Source organism: Homo sapiens, chromosome 3 (genome assembly GCF_000001405.40).
Source record: "Homo sapiens chromosome 3, GRCh38.p14 Primary Assembly".
NCBI classification, from domain to species: domain Eukaryota; kingdom Metazoa; phylum Chordata; class Mammalia; order Primates; family Hominidae; genus Homo; species Homo sapiens.
This window is the reverse complement of record NC_000003.12, coordinates 167,803,912-167,825,880: the sequence shown is the minus strand read 5'-3', so window position 1 is coordinate 167,825,880 and position 21,969 is coordinate 167,803,912. Positions and strand designations below refer to the sequence as shown.

The following is a 21,969-nucleotide window of genomic DNA, read 5'->3' as shown; positions in this document are numbered from 1 at the left end:
GTATCTGAGATTTGCATAGCTCTGTTGTTTTTTTCTAACAGGTCTTGTCATGAAGCAATACGAAAGATGTCCAGTTTGTATTCTTTTGCCTACGCTATACACTTATTTCCAAGAAATTACAGTGAGAATTTTTGTGGAGTACCTGTCTTCACCTCACTTGTTATTGCTTGTTATGCATAAGTTTATAATGCTATTTTACTATGATGTTTTGATCCTGCATAAGAGATTTAAGAGGTAGAGAAACATTGTTTCCAAAGTTCACCTAGAGATATCTTTATACTACAACTTCTAAAATAAAAAAATAGATCTAGTCACATGTTCAATAGGTACTTTTATTTTAAACAACAGCACACAAACACAATGACATAACAGGACCATTAGCTTAATACTGATAACATTCCTTGACAAGTTACTTATAATTTACATATATTGTTTTTATCTGGAACTATTTTAAATATTATCTTAAGATATACTGTAAAACACAAATCCTAAATATATACCAGTTGCAAACATAATGTGCTTAGTTACTGTTTTCCTTGTTATTCAAATAAAGTAACTTAAAGTTCTTCGAAATCATGTCCACTTGTGTTCATTGTTTCAGGATGCATGACTCGTCCCATGAATAGAATTGTACCTGTATTGGTTCAGAAGTAAACAAAAGAGGGGGTGAACAAAATAATAAAATATTTATCTTCCTTCTTGCTTACAATTAATGAAAATATGTTATTTTCTCCTTCCTTCCTTCCTTCCTTCCTTCCTCCTGTCCTTCCTTCCTTCCTCTCTCTCTTCCTTCCTTTTCCCTTTCCCTTTCCTTTCCTTTCTTCTTTCCTTCTAGAGAAAGGCTCTTGCTCTGATGCCCAGGCTGGAGTGCAGTGGCTCTATCAGAGCTTACTGTAACTGTGAACTCCTGAGCTCAAGCATTCCTTCCACCCCCAACACCTCTAGTAGCTAGGATAACAGGCATGTGCCACCATGCCTGGCTAATTTTTTAAAAATTTTATTTATGTAGAAATGGGGTCTCACTATGTTACCCAGGCTGGTCTTGAATTCCTGGCCTCAAGTGATCCTCCCTGCCTGGAACTCCTGAAGTGCTGAGATTAAAGTCTGAGCCACCTCACCAGCCTTATTTTCATTAAAAAAAATCATTTCAACATTATAAACTATCTGATAATTCAGTTGGTCAATCTCTGGAAAGAGAATAAATAAATAAAATTGTGAAAAGAAATTATATGATGAGTACTGAGGAAAAAAATCTCCATTTAAAAAAGAGGTTCTTTGTGACCTATTAAATAAAATTTTGTTTTCATAATAAACTTACCAGTTCTCCTGTTTCTGATAAGAAAGAAAAATGGATGGTCGACAATAACTTGAGGATACAGCACAGCCATCCTACTAATTGCAATCATTCCTACAGTGCAGATAAAAAGTAATTATATGTCTGTGGATGTGCAGAGACTAATGAGTAATTCCTCAAAACCATCTATGCCTATCCACCTAATGCAAAGACAACAATTTACAGGAAACAAGATTTTAAAGACTTAACTGGAGAAAAATTATAAAGGTGTTAACATTTCTACTTGATCTTTTTAAAAAGCAAAACGAAACAAAACAAACACACACCACAAACAAAACAAACAAACAATTTCTTCCTTCTACTCCATTAAAAATAATAGGACAATTTATTCTGCTTGTTATGAAATGTTTATTCTCAGCCTCACATAAATATGTGTGTCTTTACTAAAATGACTTTTGAGTAAAAGGAAGGGGGAGAATAAAGAAAAAAATCCCCAAACAAAAACTGAAGAGAGTTTCTCTATATTTTCAAATCATTATTTCTTTTGTCTGAAGCGGGTATTTTTACATAGGAAGTCACCAGGTTTCTAGTAAGTGGTCAAGATGGCAGTGATTAAAGGGAAAATATAACAGTGAGAGATACAACGAGGTATCCTATGACTGGGCTACTAAATTCCCCTGAGATCCTCATTATAAGATGATATATACTTGCTGCAGTATAGTTAATTGTCAAAAGAAAGTCCAGATTACATGTAAGATTTCAAGCTGTCTTGATGCCTGAGGCTACTATGCTCTTATTTACTTCGGAAAATACTATCCTATCATGAAAGTGATAGAGGTGGGGTATGTTGGGATAGTTAGTGGGTACGAAAATACAGTTAAATAGAATGAAGATCTAGTATTTGATAGCACATCAAAGTGATTATAAGTCAACAATTTGTTGTACATTTAAAAATAACTGGAAAAGTATGATTGAAATGTTTGTAATAAAAAGAAATGATAAATGCTTCAGGTGATGAATACCCCATTTACCCTGATGTCATTATTATGCATTACATACCTGTATCAAAAATATCCCATATTCTCCATAAATATATACATTTGCCATGTAACCATGAAAATAAAAAATAAGAACTTTTTGCTGACAAAATTAAGAATCAACTTCAGCAAATAATTTGGTAGGAAGAAAAATGTTTAAATGGGTAGCAGGAAAATATTTAAAATATTTAAACAGGCAGCACAGCAGAAAAAATCTATTTTCGCAGAACTGCCAATGTCCTCCTGTCTCTCATTAGAGAGAAAATGAAGATGAGAGTTATCTGTAAAGGGGCACTGGAGTGAGTTCACACTTCACATTCTATTTAGAAAATTCCGGCTGGTTCAGCATTTGCTTGACTTCTAAGTTAGAGCAGAGTGACTTTTTTGGCTTCATTTTGAAAATGACCCCACTCCCCACTCAAGATTGCTCTAAAAATACAAATCTAGAAGAGGGGAGAAGATTCTAGCAAACAGTACCTGAGACAGCAGCAGCTTCTGAGCCTTCTTCATTAACCTCTAGGAAGGACTTGTGAATTGCTTTGGAAAGAAAAATCTCCTTATTATCTGCAAAAAGAGAATCAGAAATTTTTTTTTTTCATTCAGAGATAGGAAAATATTTTGCCCTTTTGTTAAATGGATTTTAGAGATCTAAGAGACTGGGATACTGAAGAAAACCTAGGAGATAATGTTAAAAGATTTCATTAATGAGATAACCATTGAAGATGTGGTTTTTAATTTGCCCTCATTTTATATTCTTTTGCTAATTTTCTTTTCTGTTTTTATTGGTGGTTTTCCCATATGTATGTCTTATATTTTCAGAAAAAGTGGAAACTTTTTTTACTAGTGACTTCAAATTATTTCATAAGTCAAGACTAAAATATCTCACACATTGCTCTTTAATTTTAAATATAAAAGTATGAAATGAAAACAAGTAAAAATTCAGAAACAGCCAGAATAAAAAATTTTTTCCTTTTTTAACCTAATATTTAATTACTATGATAATGTAAATACCCTTGGCAAAGAAAAATGAAATTGACTTCTAGATTCATAATGTAAATTTATGAAAAAGTTACTTTCCATTACAATTAATTGGTTTATCTGAGGATTCACAAACACGTTTTATCCTAAGATAAGAGGAAATAACACATTTTTAGCATTAGGAGGACTGTTTTTCCCTTCCTATTTATGCCTGTTTTAAGGTAATGGCTGTTATAGGCTATATTATGTTTTACACAAATTTATATGTTAAAGTCATAACCCCCAGTACTTCAGAGATTGACTATATTTGGAGACAGAATTTTAAATTTAAATGAGGTCATTAGGGTGGGTCCTAATCCAATATGACTAGCGTTCTTATAAGGAGAGGAAATTTGGACACAGACAGGTACAGAGGGAAGGCCCTGTGTAATGGTTAATTAACTCTACGTGTCAGCGTGGCTGAGCCATGGTGCTCAGATATTTAGTCAAACTGTCTGGATGTTTCTATAACAGTGCTTTTAGACGAGATTGACATTGGTAGACTTTGAGTAAAGCAGATTACCTTCACAATGTGGGTAGGCCTCATCCAATCAGCTGAGGGCTTTAATAAAACAAAGACTGGCCCTTCCCAAGCAAGGAGGAATTCTGCCAGCAGGCTGCCTTTGGGTTGCAATTTTTTTCCAGGTCTCTACCTGAAGATTTTGAGCATCCAAAGCCTCCATAATGATGAGCCAATTCCTTAAAATTTTTCTCTCTTCAGAAATATGTATATAATGACTAATTATGTATGTATATATGTTTGTATATTTACACATACATATGTTACAGGATCCTTGGGGTGTCGCTTCATCAGCTGGAAACCTCTGTTGCCAGTGGTGCCTTTGCCTGAGTTTTGCCTAGGCCTGCTGGGTTCATTGTGCCCACTCGGCCTGGCAGGCTGCACTTGGCTTGTGCTACCAGCCCGGATCCCACACTTGCCAAGGGCGAGCCAGGTGTGGAGTGGTGAGAGGCATGTGAGTGAGCGAGCATGGGGTCTGTCTGCTGCACACAGTCAGGCACTCTGGCTACTGTGGGGCAGGCAGCTCCAGGCACTGGCATGGATGCTGGCTCACTGCTAGGCTGCAGCTGGACCAGAAGTACCACAAGCAGCTTCCACTGCTGGCACCAGGAAATGTGGTGGCGTTTGGAAGCTTGGAGACACCGGGAACCGCAGAGCTTCAAAGCGGGTGTCACAGCCCTGGCTCGGGAGCTACTAGGTCTGGGCTCCCTGAAGGGCCACGGCACTTCTCTTCTCTCTTCTCTCCTTCTTGCTGCCTACAACACGGCGAGCAAGGGGCATGTTTCAGCCCTATTTGTGTTACAGCTCTTTCAGTCCTGCCATTTGGTGGGTCCCAGGTTCTTGTCTCACATCCAGGAAGAATGAGGCATGTAGACAAGTGGAGGGTGAGCAAGGCAAAGAGGTGCTTTATAGAGTGACAGAACAGCTCAGAGAACTGCAGTGGGTAGCTCCTCTCTGCAGGCGGGTTGTCCCAACGAGTGTCCAACTCTTAGCAGAGAGGAGACCCACAGTGGGTAGCTCCTCTCTGCAGGCAGGTCATCCTGTCATCTGCTCAAGTCTGACTGAGTTTGGGGGTTTTTATAGGCTTCAGAGGGGAGGAAGTATGTGCTGATTGATCCATGGGTGGCCACAGGTGGCGCGGAAAAAGCACCGTAAGTTCTCATTCTGGTCCACAGAACTGGCAGCCTGGACCCCAGGCCTCAGGTCATCCCTGGCCTGAAGGTGGGGTTTCACTGGGGACCCTCCCCTTTCCACCCAGGAGCCTGTCTGCCTCCTGCCACCATTGGCCTGCCCTCCACAGTACCCATGGCATCCAGGCTGTCCGTGCTGAGCGGCGCCTGCAGGCCTGCACTGAGCTGCCTTTAGCCCCCTCTTGGCCTCCCTCCCATGCTCATCAGTGCCCAAAGTCTGGAGGGGGCCCAGTCGGCAGGGGGTTGATGTGTCAGCACTGCCCCAGGCATGTGCACACCCGGCCAGCTCATGACAGCACCTGGACTGGGCCACAACTTTGCTCAGAAATCAGAGTGGTCTCCGGGATCAGGGAGAGGCCAGGCAGTAGGAGCAGGCACTTCTGAGCCTGCAGTGGGCAGGGGCTTCCTGGGCCTGGAGAGTGCAGAGATGCCCAGGTCCACAGCAGCTGTGCCCAGGTTGGCTGGGCTCCCGCCTCTCCAACTCAGAAGGGGGCAGGCTTCCACTTCTTCCCAGCTCCTGCTGGCTCCATGGAGCATGAAGCCCTGGCTGCTCCTCCCTCCCTTGCTGTAGCCGGGGTCATGGGAGCGGCCACTCCAGACAGGCCACCACTGCCATCATGTAAATATGACTAATATACCACGTGAAGATAGAGGGGACAGACGGCCATCTACACACCAAGAAGGGAGGCCTCAGAAGAAACCAACTTGCTGACACTTTTATTTCAGACTTACAGCCTCTAGAGCTGTGAGAAAATAAATTTCTGTTTTTTAAGCCACTCAGCCTGTTACTTGTTACAGCAGCCCTAGCAAACCATAAAATGGCATTCAATCTTGGGGTTTCAACTTTTCCCTAAGAAAGAAACAAAACAAACAAAAGATGCCTCAAATACATTTTTCGAAAGAGCACAGGAGAGTAAGAAAAAGAATTACTCAAATTTATAACCCCTCTTTCAATTCCAGGAGATCTAATTCAGATTTCAGATAAATAACTTTGTTGCTGATGTCCAGCATCATTAAAAGCACAATTGATTTCCCATTAGGTTGCTTAGTTAGACTTTGTAAGTATCAAGTTCTACCCACAAAATACATTTTCCTTCAAGCTTTGAAAAGCACATAATTATCTTGTACATATAAGGAAGGATTTTCAACATTTTGGTACATCTGTTACAGAGGACCTGATTACTTTGAATAAGCCCCAAGACAACTAACAATGGCATCTCTGAATATACTTTTAATGGGAATATTACTTCCTCAGATCTTATTTGGTATTAAGATATAAGTAGTGCATTATTAAATAGTCCATTTCACATATTATGATGTTTTCTTCTAGAATGTATTTGTTGACTAGAAGAAAAATAAAAAAGCAATCAAGTTTTCACATTTAGTAATAAAGTATAATTAGCTCCCTCAAATCCAAAAGAGTAGTGTTTTTTTTAAGAAAAATTTAAATTGTGTTAAGTAACCGAATATATTTAGTTGGTAAAATCAGCACATAAATTTCAAGACAGTAGCTGGGCGCAGTGGCTCATGCCTATTATCCCAGCACTCAGGGAAGCTGAGGCAGGAGGATCACTTGAGCCCAGAAACTCAAGACCAGCTTAGACAATATAGTGAGACTTCATCTCTATGTAAAATAAAATAATACTAATTTTAATTTTAAAATAGTAATAATAAAAAAGAAAACATTTAAAAAATAAATTTTAAGACAGTAAAATATATTAACTAGCAGCTATTTGATGCTGTATTATTTTCAGATTCTGCTGCCCATTTTCATCAGTCTGTGAGTTAAGCATCAAGAGCCAATATCATGACCTTGAATACAAAGGTGCTAGAACCCAGTTCCTACAGGGTAATGAGTATCCACATTGTCAGCTAAGCCCTTCTGAAGAATTCTAAAAGGGGTTCTCCTCAAAGACACCACATAATATTCCAACTACATCAATTTGCACATAGGAAATTGCCTCCAATAGCTATGAGGCTTGACCAGCTGGCTGCAGTAGGCACTTTGAAACAAGAAAAATCATCCCTTTATTACTAGCCTGTGTCCCAAATGTTGTAATATCCTCTAGTCACCTACTTTATTGCCTGTTCGCACTTGCCCCACCAAAATGATGGTGGTGGTAGTTGTGGCAGGGATATTGCAAGGTACTTACGGCAGAAAGAGAAAGAAAACAAAGATGCTAAGGGTTATTCTCAGAGAGCTAGTTATTTAAAAGATAATGAACTGGACAAACTTTTAAACAAAATTCATTAAAAAAAAGAAGAGATTGTCCAAATAAACAATATTAAGAGCAAAAAAAGAACATACCCAAGAATATGGAAAATAATTTTTTATCACAAAAAATACTATGTATAATTTTCTGCAGTAAATGTTAATTAACTTTATGAGATTATAAGTTATTTACTATGAATATCTATTATACATGATTTGATAAGTTTTGATAGATATACATATATCTGTGAACCTTTCTCCACAAATAAAATACAAAATATTTGGCCGGGCGCGGTGGCTCACACCTGTAATCCCAGCACTTTGGGAGGCTAAGGTGGGCAGATAACCTGAGGTCAGGAGTTCGAGACCAGGGTGGCCAACATGGTGAAACCCCGTCTCTACTAAAAATACAAAAAAATTAGCCAGGCGTGATGGCGTGTGCCTGTGATCCCAGCTGCTAGGGAGGCTGAGACAGGAGAATCTCTTGAACCCGAGAGGCAGAGGTTGCGGTGAGCCGAGAACATGCCATTGCACTCCAGTCTGGGTGACAAGAGTGAAACTCCATCTCAAAAACAAACAAACAAACAAACAACCAAAATATTTCCATCTATCCTAAAAAAGTATTTGTTCTTTTTTATGCGAATAATTTTGAAAATGAAGAGATTTACCATGAGCTAGACTCTTTTATAGAAATGTGTAAATTATAAAATTTGGCCGGGCGCGGTGGCTCACGCCTGTAATCCCAGCACTTTGGGAGGCCGAGGTGGGCAGATTACAAGGTCAGGAGATCGGGACCACCCTGGCTAACACGGTGAAACCCCGTCTCTACTAAAAATACAAAAAAAATTAGCCAGGCGTGGTGGTGGGCGCCTGTAGTCCCAGCTACTCGGGAGGCTGAGGCAGGAGAATGGCGTGAACCCAGGAGGCAGAGCTTGCAGTGAGCCGAGATCCGGCCACTGCACTCGAGCCTGGGCGACAGTGCATGACTCTGTCTCAAAAAAATAAAAATAAATAAATAAATAAATAAAAATAAAATTGAGTCAAGGAAAAAAATAGAATATTTGAATAATCCAGTAACCATTAAAGTAATTGAATCAGTATACAAAAACTTTCTCCATCCTTGAAATTAAAGACTCCAAGCCTAGATGGTTTTCTAGGTGATTTTAACCAAATCTTCAAGGAACAGATAGGATTGCCTGTTGTAAAACCGTTCTAGACATTAGAAAGAGAATAAAAGCTATCAAACTCATCTGTGGATATTTTACTTTGCTGTAAAAAATGAAAAAAACCCAACAATATAAGAAAGAAAATCATAGACCAAGCTCACCTATTAGCGTGAAGATAAAATTCCTTAGAAATCAGAAAATTAAACTTAGCAACATATACAAATCATCTTTTTGAATGAATTTCAATGGATGTTACAGTGTGTCATGACTCAGCAGTAGAGAAATGCTCTCCTGACTGCCTCCAGTTCACCTTAAAGCTTCCTCCGGGATGATCTTATCAAAATACAAATCAAATTATGCCACTACTCCACTTAAAACATTTTATCCCCTCTCCTGCTTGCTCTCCCTCTCACCTCACCTTCAGTATATTGCAAACCTCCATACCTGCTCAGTATAAACTATAAGGACCTCCATCAGGCTGCCTTTGCTTCCTTCCATTAGCATTCTTTGCCCCATATGCCGTGCTTCAAATTATATGAACTGAAACAGCCTCAACATAGCACGCTTTGTCATTTCTGTATCTTTGTTTCCCTAGAAGCTCCCTCAACTTTTGTTGTATAGTAAGACACCTAATCTAGTTTAGAAGCTCAGCATCTAGCTCTGTGAGGCTTTTTCTGCTCTCCTCTAATTCCTAAATCACTAAAGTAGATCTGATCACTCTCCTATTGAACCCAGAAACTAATTCTATTGAAGCCTTTCTAATATGTCATATTTGCACTGATGCTTCCCTCTTCCTGGACAGTCTACTTCCTTAAGGCAAGGATTGTGTCATTTTTCTTAGTAACCTTGTCTTCTGGCATATAGCAGGGTCTAAAGAATGAGCTAACCCTAGTAGAGGGAGTTTCCTGGTAATGTTCAATTTTCCAGTCTTTAACCCAGTATACTGTCATAGACAGGATTTCAGTAATTGTTGAACGAAAGTGGTTAACTATTTCATATTATAAGACTTTGGGTATATAAAGTCTTTCAGTGTCATCTGATGTGCACTATGACCACAACTCTGTTCATAATTATGGTTATAAAGTTTATTCTTGTAATAGGCCGGGCATTGTGGCTCATGCCTGTAGTCCCAGCACTACGGGAGGCTGAGGCAGGCTGATCGCTTGGGGCTGATCGCTTGAGCCCAGGAGTCGGATACCAGCTTGGGCAACATGGCAAAACCCCATCTGTACAAAAAATTACAAAAACTAGCTGGGCGTGGTAGTCCCAGCTACTCAGGAGGCTGAGGTGGGAGGATCACCTGAGCTCAAGAAGGTTGAGGTTGCAGTGAGCCAAGATCGCACCACTGCACTCCAGCCTGGACACAGGGTGAGACCCTGTCTCAAAAACAAATTCTTTTTAAGTTTATTCTTGTAATAAATAAAACATAAGACAATAATCTAAAGTAGACGTTCCAAGAAAATTGACAACAGCAGCAGAGAGGGAAAAAGTGCAAAGGCCACATACGTGCTAAAAGACTTCAAAATCTGATTGAGTAAAAGAGTAAGGAGAATGGGATCCAGCAGACTAGTGCTATTGCATTTATTTCAAAGACAGCAAAGATTGAATGCAACGTTTGGATTCCCATATCATGATTAACTGCTACATGAGGGATAGCAAATGTCTACACCTGTAAATGAGACCTTAAGACAATCAGCCTTCAGAAAAACACCATCCCATTGGATACATAAGTAGAAGAAAATGGACAAATAAGAAGGCCGGGCATAGTGGCTCACACCTGTAATCCCAGCACTTTGGGAGGCTGAGGCAGGCAGATCACTTGAGGTTAGGAGTTCAAGAGCAGCCTGGCCCACATGGTGAAACCCCGTCTCTACTAAAAGTACAAGAATTAGCCTGGTGTGGTGGCATGCACCTGTAATAGCAGCTACTCAGGAGGCTAAGGCCAGAGAATTGCTCGAACCCAGGAGGCAGAGGTTGCAGTGAGCCAAGATTGTGCCACTGCACTCCAGCCTGAGTGACAGAGTGAGACTCCATCTCACAAAAAAGAAAAAAAAAGAAAAAAAAAGAAAAAGAAATCACATCACAGGTACTAAGGGGAAAAAAAGAAAATGAAGCCTTTTTTTCTTGAGACAAACTTCAAGCAGTCTCATTAAAATAAAATATAACCAGAAAGTGGTCTAAGCAAGCATGTGTCTGCAGCCACAAAATCTTAGAAGTAGATCAGGTCATGCAGAGAAACAGGCGATGTCATGCAGTAGACAATCAAGACCATCTTTCCTGCTAGGCCATACACTCTTCAAGGCCTGGACTTTGCCTGTTCTACTTATCTTATGCACAACACCTTGCACACTGCCGGGTACCAGGTATGCACTCAGATATTTGATAAATTGAATCAGAATGCAAAGGGGTATGAAGGAGACTTACACTGATGAGCTTGTCTTGTTGGTTAGAGAAAAGTTAGCTATTCTCTCAAACAATCAAGCAAAGGCAAATAGTTTTTTGTTTTTAAATCTGCTGGCACCAAGCAGCCTTTTCCTTCTGGCCACAGCAGACAGTGCTGCCAAATGACTGGTCCTACTTTCCTCCAGGCAGCATGAGGCCAGGATTTTTACAATGGATGAGATGGGAACAGGGCCAGTAAACCCTAGGTTCCCCCAGAGAAGAACTGGGCAATAATTCAAGCTCTTCTGAAAAAAGCAGGGCAAGACTACAAAGGCATTCATTCAGTCACTTAGTAAATATTTCTTCAGTACCCACTACATATGCGGTATTGTGCAGGGCACCAAAGGCTCTAAGTATCTGAGATTAACATCATGCTTGCAGGATAGCCATCATGCAAGTGTAGGCCACTACTTCCTCTGTGGCACTGTTCCTAAATTCAGCCAATTTAAATAGATTTCTGCGTCATGAACGGCATGCTTAAAATAACAAAATGACGAGAGTATTATAACAGAACCCTAGCATACCAAAAGTGTCTCTGTGCTTTAGTTGCCAAAATATTTTTAGCTTCAGCCCCACCCATGAAATTTATAAAAGTTCCTAGAATTTGAGTTCTCTTACGATAGGAATAATGTTTCTTTGTTTGCTTTTCTGGATAGATTTTTTACAAAACCAGCAAACATTCATTTATTGGTTCATTCATTCATTCATTCATGTGCTGAGCACCTACTATGAGCCAGATGCACCAGGTATACTATGATGAACTAAATAGTTCCTTCCTAATGAGAGGAAAGCAGACATCAAATAAAAGAACAATAAAAAAGTGAATCAATAAATGACTACAATTTCAGGGTATAGTAAGTATAACTAAGCTAACAAGATAAGGTGATATGTTGGTTAGTGACTGGGGCAGCGAAGAGGAGCTATTTGACACAGGTTATTCAGAAAGGTGGGTCTCAGAGGGCAAATCTTAGCTGAGAATGAAGGAATACAAAGGAGCCAGCCACTGGAAGAAATAAAGGGAGAGTATTTCAGATGGAAGGAAAAGCTAGTGCAGAGGCAGATACAAACTGGGCATGCTTAAGGACCCAAAGAAGGGGCTGTGTGGCTGCAGTGGGGAGGGCAGGAAGTATGAGAGAAGTCCCCATGCTTGTAGCCAGGTGGGGTACAGTGAAATTTACTCACAACACTCACCCACTCGGTATCTACCCTGTCCCCCACCACAAATTCTCTTCTGTGTTCTGGGGACAGAAAGATGTCTATGCTTTTGAATAGCTCTGAGCTCAGAGACAAGTATGTAAACAAATAGTCTAGGAGAAAATGAAACGTGCTAACAGAGGTGTGTGCAAAGTGCTACCAGATTCCACATAAGGAAAAGTAAACCATTTAGGAAGGAAGAGGAATGTCAGGTCAAACGTCTCTGATGTGTCGACCTTTCAACTTGCTCTTAAACAATTAGTAAGAGTGAAAAGTCAGAGAAGGCAAGATGGACATTCCAAGCAGAAGATTCCATTTGTAAAGTGAGAGAAACTTTACATCCCCAGTGGGGATCTCTTGAAGGTCCAGCTGGAGCCTGAGCTATGAGGAGGTTGGGGAGTAGGAGAGGACATAATTTTAAGAGCTTTGACGATGATGCTAGAGAGCCTGGATTTGTCCAGAAGTAATGGGACACAATGCTTTGATTTTAGAAGATAGCTGTGGCAGCTGCTGTGCAGGGTGAATCAGATAAGCAAACAGCTGGGGGCAGGAAGATGAACTTTGTTAGCTGTTGCAGTAATCCAGGCAAGAAAGTAGAAGAATTGGAATTATGGCAATGAGAGAAATAGAGCCTTGTAGTTTACAGGCGCAAGAAGAAAGAGAACAAACAAGGGCAGAGGGTAAGAGTAGGTCCAGCATAAATCAACAGCACTTGAGTCTGACCTGAATATGGCTTTTGGTGTGTCTTCTTAATTCCTTTATTTTATTGGCTCCTTTATTAAAGCTTGTACTTGATGCTGAAGGATTTAGTACTCTCTTTCTCCTTCCCCTTACACCTTCCAAGAGGATTATCTATTAATCCAAATGCTGACAGTCATCCATTTCCATTACAAAAATAGACCTTCTCTATAACAGGATCCTCGCTGCAAGTAGATGAGCATTTTAAATAGAGCCTGAGAAGAAAATGATTCTCAGCACTTTCTATAATCCATGTTTATTGTATGAGCCTTTACTGTGTTTTATGTTAATGGAATTTACCAACAAAAGCAATGGATATCAAATTGAAATAAAAAATAAATGTAATAAATATCGAGCATCTCATTTTATTCATTTCTTCATTCAGTAGGTCCTAAGCAGAAAGCACAGTGCTGGGCACTATAGGAAACATGTGTAAGAATCAATCTTGGAGGGTTTAAATTCTGGCAGGGAATATTAGACACATAAATAACAATAATATGAGATAAAAAGATATATGTGCCATAAAGAAAGGCACAAGGTATCAGGAATTTAAGAAGGAACGATTACTTCTGGTTGGTGTAGTCATGATGCCTTGATGAAATTGGGGATATTAAAGCTGAGGTTCAGTGCAGGAGATTTTTCTTGTGGAAGAGACTTCACAAAGGCAGAGAGCTGGGGACAGGTGAGACACAGAGTGAGTATTTAGTTTGGCTGGGCAGGAGTTGTGTATATGGAATCAACCAGAGTGAAGCCTGGTCTCAATGCCCTGCTGAGCAGCGGATGGGGCACAGGTGACTGAAGGCTGGCTTTGAACAGGAACTGGAATGATCTAAGAGTAAGTTTTTAAGGCGATTAATCTTGGCAGTGGCAGATAAAATAGATTAGATTGGAGAGAGATTGGAAACTGTTTAGAAGGCTATTGAAATAGTCTACAACAGCAGTAATGAGAGTCTCAAATAAGAGTGGATGCCATGGAATAAAAAATGAAAGAGTGGACTTGAGAGGTCTTAGCAAAAGATCTCAAGTCACTCCGTTTTTCTAGAAGCAAGAGAAAGCAAAGCAGGTTTTATTTTTCCCCACTGCTAAATCACATATGCTATTTTTGAAGAAAGATACAATTTTATCACATAATTTAAGAAAGTAACAATATAATGATAGTACTGAATTATTCTCTGGGTGATTTCAAATTTGCTAATTAATTCTATTATTAATGACTTTTTCTTAAATAAGAAACAAGGTCTCATTATGTTACCCAGGGTGGTTTTGAACTCCTGGACTGTCCTGTGTAGGCCTCTCAAAGTGCTGGAATTACAGGCATGAGTCACTGCGCCTGGCCTATTAATGGTATTTTTTAAAAGTTTTTTCTAATTTTTAAGTAACAATTTTAATTAAAAAAGCAATACATATACAAGGTAAAATTCCAAACACTACAGAGCAGTATATGAAATGAAAACTCCTCTTTCATCTAAAGCCTCTGTCCCGTGTTCCAGAGGCAACTGCCGTTATCACTTTCTAAGATATTGTTCAAATATTTTCTAGCCATTTAAAAGCCTATATACATACATATATTGTTCTATGTCTTTTCATTTCTCTTCTTTTTCTTTTTTTTTTTAGCCATTTCATATGCTTGACTCCTCTGTCTTTTGACCTAATATGTTCCCATTCTGTCTTTTAATTTTTTTTTCTTCTCTGTTTCCACATGCTTTCTCCAGTATAGGATTTCTCAGCCTTTTCACTATTGACAATTTTGGCTGGATAATCCTTTGTTGTGGAGGAGCTCTCCTGGGCATTGCAGATGTTAGGAAGAATTCCTGGCCTCTTTGCCCAGATCCAAAATCTGGGCAAAGAAAAAATCTTCTGGAAAGAATTCAGCATTCTAGATGCCAATAAAAACACTGATGTTTCATGGAAGGAGATCAAAATAGCAACATTAACAGGGGTCTGGAAGAAGTTGATTCTGACTTTTATAACTGACAGTTTCAAAATTTCATTGTAGGAAGTAACTGTGGATGTGGTAGAAACAGCAAGAGAACTTGAATTAGAAGTGAACCCTGAAAATGTGACTAGATTGCTGCTATCTCATGATCAAATTTAAATGGATGAGGAGTTGCTTCATAGGGATGAACAAAGAAAGTGGTTTCTTGAGATGAGATCTACTCCTGGTGAAGATGCTGCGAACAACGTTGAAATGACAACAAAGGACTTAAACTATGACAGAAACTTAGTTGATAAAGCAGTGGTAGGGTTTGAAAGGACTGACTCCAATTTTGAAAGAAGTTGTACTGTGGGTAAACAGCATTGCATGATACAGAGAAATTGTTCATGGAAAGAAGAGTACATGGATGCAGCAAACTTCATTGTTGTCTTATTTTAAGAAATTGCCACAGCCACTCCATCCTTCAGCAACCACCACCCTGGTCTATTAGAAACCATCAATATCAAGGCAAGATTCTCCACCAACAAAAAGCTTATGACTCACTGATGGCTCAGATGATCATTAGCATTTTTCAGCAATAAAGTATTTCTACATTAAGGTATATGCTTTACTTTTTCAGACATAATGTCTTTGTACCTTTAATAGACTATGGTATAGTGTAAATATAACTTTTATATGCACTGGGAAACAAAAAATTCATGTGACTCATTTTATTGGAATATTCACTTTAGTGCAGTGGTATAGAGCCAAACCTGTAATATATTGAGGTAAGCCTTTATATATCCTAAACACCATGAGATTCTCATTAAAGTAGAAACAAAATGCATGCAAATAATTTTCCTGGGTATTTATGGGGGTTATGAAGAGTTATAGACATTAATCATCAAGGTTATGTTATTTGGAGAGGAAAAAACTAGACATATGAAAATGATACCAACCTTACAAAGCAGAGCATATGGTGCTCAAATAAATGATGAAGAGATAAATGCTATTAATTTAGAGGAAAAAAAGGGGCAAGTTTTATAATTAAAACAATAATTTTTGAATGAATGATTCATAAATTAATGTGTGTGTGCATGGCATGGGGAATGTAAGGATATATTGGTTAGGGTGGATGGCATACTGGAGCTGCTTAGACTCTGGCAAAACTAATAATGTAATAATCAAAGAATTCCCACTGAAAGACTGGGAAGTTTGCTTTAGATCTTTTATCAAGTGATCTTGAAAACCTGAATGGGGTGGTATTTGAGAATGGCAAATCCAGGATTTTTTTACTTATGTTTAAGGGGGCAAATAGTCCTTAGACTGTATGTAATGTGGGGCCAAATAAACCTCTTGTCTTCTTCCCCTCATCTTTTTTACCCTTCAGTGAACATTCACTGTGTGTCAACTATATGTCAGTTTTTTACAAGGTACCAGGAATACAACTGTGAGTAGGACACAGAGAAGGATTCAATTCCCACGGAAGTTTTGATCAAACAAACAGATACTTTGCATATAGAATGTATTAATTCTCTGGAAGATTCTAGTGTTATTTCCAATCTCTAAACCATCTGTTATCATAATGCATATTTATGGTCTATTGTCTCTGTCTCTGCAAAGGCAATTAAATATTACCTTATAAACCTTCCAAATATGTTAGAAATTATAAGCTACACTGACCACAATAATTGATTTCCCACTGCAGTGCTACTCCGTCAGGACTGAGAGGCAGCAGGTAGTCTATTTGTTTGAAATAACTTCCTAGATGTTTGGGTGAGACAGTGAGGAATTACTAATCAAACTGAAAATAGAGCCACGTTAAGAAAGTACAATGTAATTATCCAATTGGAATTTGGCCAGTATGGTAAGACAGATTTCTCTCAATTCCTAAAGAAGAGAGAATGACAATGTTAAATTATGCTAAGCTTCAGCCATGAATATATTTCTGACTCAGGTACAGATACCACATTATATTTTGAATCTCTACCAGTCCTACATTCTTGATAACCCCATTGAAGAGTTCAGAGCCCTAGAAGCTTGGATATAAGCCATGAAAACATTTACTCAGGGAAAGCTCATTTCTCTTATGTGGACAGGAACATTTATATAGTAGACATTTAGAAAAGCTCTATTAGTGTTTAGGGCTGTAAGCTCTCTGAACGAGGGGTAGAAGTTGTACCAAATACATTAGTATCAACTCATTGCTAGAAGCTGAGTGCTGTTTAGAAAACAACACGTTCAATCCTAAATCTGGGAGGACAAAGGCTTTTTTCATCACAGACACACTGAGAATTTCTCGAAAGCTATTAATACGAGCCCCCCAAACTGTTTCTCTCTCACACACACCTACATGTATATGTGCAGATGCATTGTGTGCACATATTTATATGCAATTTCAAGGGTTGGAGGGCATCAGCTTCTCTGAATTCAGTCTATGGGCCCTCACACTCCAGGTTTAGAAGCTATAGTTTGGTCAGCTTGATTCTCTATAGGCTGCTGCTTCAGGCTAAGAAAACTAAATTCTCTCCTTTAACACAGGAACTGCTAAGGAATCTATCATCTCAGTGCTATTTGGAAATTTGGGTTAAATAATTTGCATATAAAGAGGCCTTACATGTTGAGTTTCTTTTATCTTAATATATATCTATCTTTATCTCATCAGAAAACAGATTGTATTTTTATTTTCTCTCTTCTAAGGAAATGATAAAAATAATCCTTATATAACTTATTTACTCAGTCTTAAGTTCATTGTTGCCTTTTTGTGATGGCAAATTTCTTGGGGTTAGCTACTTAAAAATACTTCCAAAGTATTTTACAAATTATAAATGCTTTAACATGGCTAATATTTTGTGATTTTTTTTTTTACTCTGAAAAAAATAGGGTATTTGAATCAAATAATTCAATTGGATTTTTTTCTTGGGATATTTAAAATAAATTACTAGACACCCCAATGTGCCAGGTATACTTTGAAGTTACTTCTTTAAAACCACTATTTATTTATTTATTTATTTATTTATTATCATTACTATTTTTTGAGACAGAGTTTCGCTGTTGTTGCCCAGGCTGGAGTACAATGGTGCAATCTCGGCTCACTTCAACCTCTGCCTCCTGGGTTCAAACAATTCTCCTGCCTCAGCCTCCCGAGTAGCTAGGATTACAGGCACCCACCACCATGTGTGGCTAATTTTTTGTATTTTTAGTAGAGATGGGGTTTCACTCTGTTGACCAGGTTGGTCTCAAACTCCTGACCTCAGGTGATCCCCCCACCTCAGCCTCCCAAAGTACTAGGATTACAGGCATGAGCCACTATGCCCAGCCCACTGTTTATTTATTTTTTTATTAAAGAATTAGAACATGTTTATACCATCTCACTGGGTATTCTTTATTCTTTTAAAAAGGATCTTTGGTCTAGCTCTCACAGCAGTCACTCATTTATCCTCCCTTCTTTCTTTCTTACATGATTTACTACAATGGGACATATTGAGATAGTCAATCAACACATTTATTGATTACCTATTCTACAAGGCATTATGTCAGATGGGATGGGGAATCCAAAGATGTTTAAGACAGGTCTTCCGGAGAATATAATCTATTGTCAAAGATATGATACGAACTAGATAATATAAACTTAATGTTAAGACTATATCTATAGTTTTGCTTGTAGAGGTTAAATGTATTTCATGCTAGATTTATTTGGCAAGTGGTAACTATATTTTACCCCAGAACTCCATAGTAAATAGAGGATTTAATATCATCATTTAATAAAGCTCTTATGGAATAACATTTTTAAAAATTTGTGTTTATTTCTTACCAGAGAGGCCTGTCAAATTTGCATCTTTGATGAAAATTTCAGTTATTCCAAGAGCCTTCAAAACATCTTTTAAATCAATTTCCTGTTCCACTGTGAACCTGGAGAACACATAGGGAGAAAAATATTTAGTTAGAGCATCTTGTTACCTGGAACAAGAACAAAGTGTTAGATATGTGGATATTTAAAGTCTGCTTTATGGAGAGTAAATTATGCTAAAACTGGCTTTTGACTGCAATTAGCATTTGATTGAACATGGAAAAATAGGTGGCATCAAAGAGATTGACATAACAAAATAGAATTTAAACACATAAGTAGGAAAATATATGATATAGACACAAAACCATAATATATGGTACAACAAATGAGTTTTGAGATCAAGTATCATTACCATATGATTACTTAGTATCATAGTATTGAGTAAAACTTGTAAATGAGTAGCTTTCAAAATCCTTTGACCTAGTAGTAATATATTTTATTTTTTTTTTTAAGCTGGAGATGACTAATCATACATTTACCTCGGTTATTTCATTCTCTTCTTAGTATCCTGGTCAATTTATGTTACTTTCCCTCTGCCACTGTGCAACTCCCACCCACATCAATGCCATGGACAAGGTTAAATTAGACCCAAATTCTATTTTGCAATAAATACATTTAGCATTTCAGCTCCCTACAACTCAGAGAAAGCAAAAATAAAATGCACTACATTAAAAATGTATCTTTATGGTTATAGTGATCTCTAAAACATAAACCTGTTCTCATGATATCATCACAAAAAAACTATTAATCAATGGAGAGTGAGTTAAACATTATATCTTAAAAACCATGTGCTTTTACACTGAAGAATTTTTTTTTTACTTTAAGTTCTGAGATACATGTACAAAACATACAGGTTTGTTACATAGGTATACATGTATCATGGTGGTTTGCTGTACCTATCAACCCATCATCTAAGTTTTAAGCTCCACATGCATTTAGGTATTTGTCCTAATGCTCTCCCTCCCCTTGCCCCCCTACCCCCTCAGACAGGACCCAGTGTGTGATGTTCCCCTCCCTAAGTCTACATGTTCTCATTGTTCGACTCCTACTTATGAGTGAGAACATCCGGTGCTTGGTTTTCTGCTCCTGTGTTAGTTTGCTGAGGATGATCGTTTCCAGCTTCATCCATGTCCCTGCAAAGGAAATGAACTCATCCTTTTTTATGGCTTCATAGTATTTCATGGCATATATATGCCACATTTTCTTTATCCAGTCTATCATTGATGGACATTTGGGTTGGTTCCAAGTCTTTGCTATTGTAAATAGTGCTTCAATATACATACATGTGAATGTGTCTTTATAATATAATGATTTGTAATCCTTTGGGTATATACCTAGTAATGGGATTGCTGGGTCAAATGGTATTTCTGGTTTTAGAAAACAGCATGGTACTCCAAAACAGATATATAGACCAATGGAACAGAACAGAGACCTCAGAAATAGCACCACACATCTACAACCATCTGATCTTTGACAAACCTGACAAAAACAAGCAATGGGGAAAGGATTCCCTATTTAATAAATGGTGCTGCGAAAACTGACTAGCCATACGCAGAAAACAGAAACTAGACCCCTTCCTTAACAACTTATACAAAAATTAACTCAAGATGGATTAAAGACTTAAATGTAAAACCTAAAACCATAAAAATCCTAGAAGAAAACCTAGACAATACCATTCAGGACATAGGCATGGGCAAAGACTTCATATCTAAAACATCAAAACCAATTGCAACAAAAGCCTAAATTGACAAATGGGATCTAACTAAACTAAAGAGCTTCTGCACAGCAAAAGAAACTACCATCAGAGTGAACAAGCAGCCTACAGAATGGGAGAAATTTTTGCAATCTATCCATCTGACAAGGTCTAATACCCAGAATCTACAAGGAACTTAAACAAATTTACAAGAAAAAACAACCTCATCAAAAAGTGGGCAAAGGATATGAACAGACATTTCTCAAAAGAAGACATTTATGCAGTCAACAAACATGAAGAAAAGCTCATCATCACTGGTCGTTAGAGAAATGAAAACAAAAACCACAATGAGATACCATCTCACGCCAGTCAGAATGGTGATTATTAAAAAGTCAGGAAACAACAGATGCTAGCGAGGCTGTGGAGAAATAGGAATGCTTTTACACTGTTGGTGGAAGTGTAAATTAGTACACTTAAGAGTTTTTTTAAACAAAAGAATCATGGGTCTTTATTTTTGTTTTAATTGACCTTATGAATTATTATATATAAATGTGTATCAATTTTGAAAAAATAAAACATTATTTTAAAACAAAATGAAAATAAATATAGTGATCGTAAACAGAATATTAACTTAAAAAATAGTTTCCACAGCAAGCCATATTGGTCTTAATATGGACTCTTCCCCAAACTAATGAATTGTATCACCAAACTTTCTTGTGAAAGACATGGACCAAGCATGCCTGCATCATGTAACATATTTTTGTGTGTGTGAGACAGGGTTTCACTCTGTCACCCAGGCTAGAGTGCAGTGGCATGATCACACCTCACTGCAGCCTCGAACCCCCAGGCTCAAGCAATTCTCCTGCTTCAGCCTCCCAAGTAGCTAGGACTACAGGTGCACATCACAGCACCTGGCTTTTATTTTTTGTTTTTAATTTGTTTGTGTAGATGTGGGTCTCACTTTATTGCTGAGGCTGATCTTGAAATTCTGGTCTAAAGCAATCTTCCTGCCTTGGCCTCCTGAGTAGCTAGGACTACAGACATAAAACACCATGCCTGAAGAAATACATTTTTAAACAAGCAAAGGCATTTATTACTTTTATTTTAAAAGTGAAAACAACTAGTTAGAACAAAATGCTTCACTTTTTCTAAGATGTTGCCTCCTAATTAATACAGATTATAAATATAAAATTTAAGGCAATAGGTTGTTCTCTTAACAGAGATAAGTCCGTGATAGTCAACAAAAAGTTTCATTAGCATCATTTCTAATGTCTGGTTTTAAGGAAAATGAGAAGGAAATGATGGCGGTAAACAAAAGGAATGATTAGTGGAAAATAGTCTTAGCAGGTTCACAGTTATGGAAAAATATGATTGACAGATGAGTACATGTATATCAAACAAACTAAACTGAGTGCTAAATTTTATCTAAATTTTGCACTTTGACTTGATATTATTTATTTTGTTTTCTACCAAAAGCAGGTATTGATTGTGAAGTAGAATTGTTCTATGGTATCCATCTCAAAAAAGGGAATGAGTAAGAAAATACAGAATGTCTCAGACAATACATTCAATGGCTTAAAATGTTTATGTGTGTATGCGTTTGCTTATTGCTACTATTTATTTTTGAACACTTATGTGGAGCTTAGTATATGCCAGAAACTTGCAAGAGCATAAAACAGATATTAATTTAAATATCACCAC

General features: G+C 38.0%; 1 protein-coding gene across 3 annotated transcripts in view, besides 1 other annotated feature; it reads right to left on the bottom strand.

Annotated features, from left to right (window-relative positions):
* Positions 312 to 21,969, bottom strand: part of SERPINI1 (serpin family I member 1) — an 89,849-nt gene continuing 68,191 nt past the window's right edge. For all 3 annotated transcript variants that reach the window (NM_005025.5, NM_001122752.2, XM_017006618.3), the window contains exons 6-9: positions 18,540 to 18,637; positions 2,809 to 2,895; positions 1,319 to 1,408; positions 312 to 634 (exon numbers count right to left, since the gene is read on the bottom strand). In NM_005025.5, the coding sequence (NP_005016.1) occupies positions 558 to 634; positions 1,319 to 1,408; positions 2,809 to 2,895; positions 18,540 to 18,637 (352 nt within the window). In that variant the 3' untranslated portion in view covers positions 312 to 557. The remainder of the gene's footprint in view (positions 635 to 1,318; positions 1,409 to 2,808; positions 2,896 to 18,539; positions 18,638 to 21,969) is intronic.
* Positions 9,575 to 9,774: a silencer, noted in NCBI's record as "fragment chr3:167533895-167534094 (GRCh37/hg19 assembly coordinates)". NCBI's record gives its function as "represses an EF-1alpha promoter that drives an FKBP-Casp9 reporter gene in an ReSE screen in HepG2 liver carcinoma cells and K562 erythroleukemia cells {active_cell/tissue: HepG2 | K562}" and the evidence as "EXISTENCE:reporter gene assay evidence [ECO:0000049][PMID:32094911]".